General features: G+C 46.7%; 1 pseudogene; it reads left to right on the top strand.

Annotated features, from left to right (window-relative positions):
- The first annotated feature begins 224 nt into the window (after window positions 1-224).
- On the top strand, window positions 225-336 carry LOC124903124 (uncharacterized; annotated as a pseudogene).
- The last annotated feature ends 4,394 nt before the right edge of the window (window positions 337-4,730 follow it).

A 4,730-nucleotide genomic window follows, 5' to 3' on the forward strand; every position in this document is an offset into this window, starting at 1 on the left:
GCGTGTGCCTGTAATCCCAGCTACTCAGGAGGCTGTCTCAACAAAATTACAAAAATTAGTCAGGCGTGGTGGCGTGTGCCTGTAATCCCAGCTACTCAGGAGGCTGAGGCAGGAGAATCACTTGAGCCCGGGAGGCAGAGGCTGCAATGAGCCGTGATTGCACCACTGCACTCCAGCCTGGGTGACAGAGCATGACCCTGTTTCAAAAAAAAAAAAGTGAATGTATTGCTTCTTGGCCTCTTGGCTAAGATGAAGTGTAGTATTTGCTTTTAGTAGTTGTCTGCTATGGTCTGAATCTGTCCCCTCTTCCTCCCAAATTTGAAATCCTAACCCCTTAAATGATAGGATTAGGAGGCAGGGACTTTGAGAGGCGATCGGGTCATCAGGGTGCAGCCCTTAGGAATGGGAGTCATGCCCTAATCAAAGAGGCCCCCAGAGAGCTCCCTTCTCCCTTGTGCTGTGTGGGGACACAGAGAGGAAATCTATGCATCAGGTGGCAGGTCCTCACCATCCTCCTCGGACGCTGAATCTGCTGCCGCCTTGATCTTGGACTTCCAGCCTCCACAACCATGGGAAATGAACTGTTGTTTGTAAGCCATGCAGCCCATGGTACCGTGTCATGGCAGCCCTGGTGGACTAAGACAATGTCCTCGGCTGAATTGTGATTGAGAGCTCAATGGTACAGTCCAGGGGGAGCTTTGTGGTGTTTTGGTTTCTCAAAGAACCACTTGGATCGCTAGGACTCCGGTCTGCATTTGAAGCCATCTCCTGCCCAAGGACACCTGGTCACCATGGCCAGCATGCAGCCAGACACCAGGGACCTCCCTGTGGCCACCAGAATTGGTGGATCCATCACTCATGGGGTTTCTCAGGCTTTGCTTTCGCAATTAGTTGGTTCTCCTCAATTGCATTCTGTTTCCCTCTGTTGGTAATAGAGGACTGACCACAGGCAGTGGTGATGACAGGGGAAGTCTTGGCTTAGCTCTTAGTGAGAGAGACATGCAGGGCATTGGCAGAAGTTCGAATTGGTGAGCCCAGCCTGTCCCTCTCAGACGCCTCCAGGCGTGTGTCTAAGAGAAAGTCTCCTGCATGTAAGAAAGTATTCTACAGGCAAACATGACCTTTTGTTTTGTTTTGTTTTGTTTTGTTTTGTTTTGTTTTGTTTTGTTTTTCATTTTGAGACAGAGTCTCACTCTGTCACCCAGGCTGGAGTGCAGTGGTGCAATCTTGGCTCACTGCAACCTCTGCCTCCTGGGTTCAAGCAATTCTTGTGCTCAGCTTCCTACGTGGCTGGGATTACAGGCGTGCACCACCACTCCTGGCTAATTTTTGTATTTTTAGTAGAGACAGAGTTTCGCCATGTTGGCCAGGCTGGTCTTGAAATCCTGACCTCAAGCGATCCACCTGCCTCAGTCTCCCAAAGTGCTGGGATTACAGGCGTGAGCCACCATGCCCAGCCCCAATTTTGCTTAAGGAGGAATTTTATAGTAGGTGAATTAATATCTCAATGGAAAAAAAATACCAGAAGTTTCAAGAGCTGAAATAGTCATAGGCCTCTCTCACTTTCTTTGGGTTCTCAGAACCCACCCAAAGAGTGGTCAAGCTAAAATTTCAACCCAGAGACATCTGATTCCAAAGGCCATTTTTCTTCACCTCTGCCAGCCAGAGAGTGAATGGTCATGTAGCCTGGGAGTGAAAGCCATGCTGGGGGGTTTGAACTTTTTGTTGTCGTTGATGATTGAAGGGTTTTGAGGCAGAAAAGAAACATAATTCAGTTTTTGTTTTAGAAAGATGGAGCTGGGCATGGTAGCTCATGCCTGTAATCCCAGAACTTTGGGAGCCCAGGACAGGGAGGATCACTTGAAGCCAGGAGCATGAGACCAGCCTGGGCAATACCGGGAGATCCCATCTCTTAGAAAAAATAAAAAAAGCAAAGAAAGATAATTCTTAGGAGCTTTATGTGAATATTCTTTATTAGACATAATAACAGATAATATTGAGGAGAGTTTTTTTCTGGGTTGGCTACAATAATTTTTGCAGTTTTGTTTAAAAATTTTTTGATACAGGCTGGGCACAGTGGCTCACACCTGTAATCCCAGCACTTTGGGAAGCCGAGGCAGGTGGATCACTTGAGGTCAGGAGTTTGAGACCAGTGCCTGTAATCCCAGCTACTCGGGAGGCTGAAGCAGGAGAATCACTTGAACCTAGGAGGCGGAGGTTGCAGTGAGCCGGGATCATGCCACTGCACTCCAGCCTGGGTGACAAAGCAAGACTCCGTCTAAAAAAAATGTTTTTTGGCTGGGCGCGGTGGCTCACGCCTGTAATCCCAGCACTTTGGGAGGCCGAGGCGAGCAGATCACGAGATCAAGAGATCAAGACCATCCTGGCTAACGTGATGAAACCCCAGGTATCTCTACTAAAAACACAAAAATTATGGCCGGGTGCAGTGTCTCACGCCTGTAATCCCAGGATTTTGGGAGGCCGAGGTGGGCAGATTACCTGAGGTCAGGAGTTCGAGACCAGCCTGACCAACATGGATAAACCCGATTTCTACTAAAAATACAAAATTAGCTGGGTGTGGTGGCGCATACCTGTAATCCCAGCTACTCGGGAGGCTGAGGCAGGAGAATCGCTTGAACCTGGGATGCAGTGAGCCAACCAAGATGGCACCACTGCACTCCAGGCTGGTGACAGAGCGAGACTCTGTCTCAAAAGAAAAAAAAAATTTTTTTTGATACAGCTCACGAACAGCAAGGCAAAATAAAAAATAATTTTTAAAAAAAGTTCAACTTTTTTTTGCAGGGGAGATAGGGTCTCACTCTGTCTCCCAGGCCGGAGTGCAGTGGTGCAATCATAGCTCACTGTATCCTTGACCTCCTGGGCTCAAGCAATCCTCCCACCTCAGTCTCTCAAAGTGTCGAGATTACAGGCGTGAGCCTGGCCTGAAATCTTGACTAAAATATCAGTGTTCAGCCTCTATGGGAACCCTAGAGACCAGTGCGATTTTTTTTTTTTATCTCATTCACTTTTTAAATTTTTTAATTATTTTATTTCATTTCATTTCATTGAGACAGGGTCTCACTGTCACCCAGGCTGGAGTGCAATCATAGCTAACTGCAGCCTTGACCTACCTCCCCACCATCACCTCAAGCGATCCTCCCATCTCAACCCCTCAAGTAGTTGGGACCACAGATGTGCACCACTATGCCCAGCTAATTTTGTTTTATTTTCAGAAGAGACAAGATCTCACTATATTGCTCAGGCTGGTTTCAAATGCCTGAGCTCAAGGGATCCTCCTGCCTTGGCCTCCCAAAATGCTGGGATTACGAGCATGAGCCATCTCGCCTGGCCAAAAAGATTTTTTTTTTAGTGGATTTTGTGATTTGTTCCCATCATTAAACAAAAGGTCAGTGGAGAGAGAAGCAGCGGTTGGGCAATGTTTGCCTATGAAAAGTCCATCTGTCCTTATCTGTCCTTAATGTTATTCTACTTTATTCTAAAGTTGAATTTCTCTGCTGTGCAGCACAGCAGGCTTTATGTAAAATTCTATTCAAATTTATAGGCGATAAGTGGTTTTTAAATAAACACATAGGGTGTTCCAACTGAGCTCTGAAACCTCTGGCTGATGGATGCATTTAAGAAAGATGGTGAGATGCTGTAAGAGCCAGCCCAGGCCATAGCACAGTTCTACAGACTGAGGGGCTTAATCCACAGAAACGGAGTTTCCCACAGTTCTGAAGGCTCCAAGTCTGCAATAAGTTGTTGGCAGCGTGGTTTCTTCTGAGGCCTCTCTCCTTGGCTTGTAGATGGCCGTCTTCTCCCTGTGTCCTCACTTGGTCATCCCTCTGGGTGTGTCTGTGTCCTGACCCTCTCTTCTCATAAGGACATCAGCCATTCTGGATTAGGGCCCACCCTAATGACCTCAGTTTAATTCAGTTCCCCTTTAAAGTCCCTGCCTCCAAATACAGTCACATTCTGAGATGCTGGGGTTCTTCTTCATCTCTGTAATTTTATCTTTCTAAGAATATTATGTAAGTACAATTATATAGTATATAACTTCTTGAAATTGACCTTTTTTCCAGCCTGGGCAATATGGCGAAACCCCATCTCTACAAAAATGCTATGATGGTGCCACTGCACTCCAGCCTGGGTGACAGAGTGAGACCTTGTCTCAAAAAAAAAAAAAAAAAAAAAAAGCCTGTTTTTCTTCCCCCACTCAGCATAATTTTTATATTTATTTATTTATTTATTTATTTATTTATTTTTTGAGACAAGATCTCACTCTGTCACCCAGGCTAGAAGGCAGTGGTGCAATATCAGATCACTGCAACCTCTGCCTCCCAGGTTCAAGCGATTCTCCTGCCTCTGCCTCCCAAGTGGCTGGGATTACAGGCACCTGCCACCCCACCCAGCTAATTTTTTTGGTATTTTTAGTAGAGATGGGGTTTCACTATGTTGGACAGGCTGGTCTCAAACTCCTGACCTTTGGTGATCCGCCTGCCTCAGCCTCCCAAAGTACTGGGATTACAGGCGTGAGCCACCACACCTGGCATCCACTCAGCATAATTTAATGCTTTAAGATCCATCCAAGTATGGCCGGGCATGGTGGTGTAATCCCAGCACTTTGGAAGGGTTAGACGGGCAGATCACCCGGGTCAGAAGTTCGCAACCAGCCTGGCCAATGTGGTGAAACCCTGTCTACTAAAAATACAGAAAAATAGCCGGGCATG

The sequence above is a fragment of the Homo sapiens genome, chromosome 12 (genome assembly GCF_000001405.40).
Source record: "Homo sapiens chromosome 12, GRCh38.p14 Primary Assembly".
Classification (NCBI taxonomy): domain Eukaryota; kingdom Metazoa; phylum Chordata; class Mammalia; order Primates; family Hominidae; genus Homo; species Homo sapiens.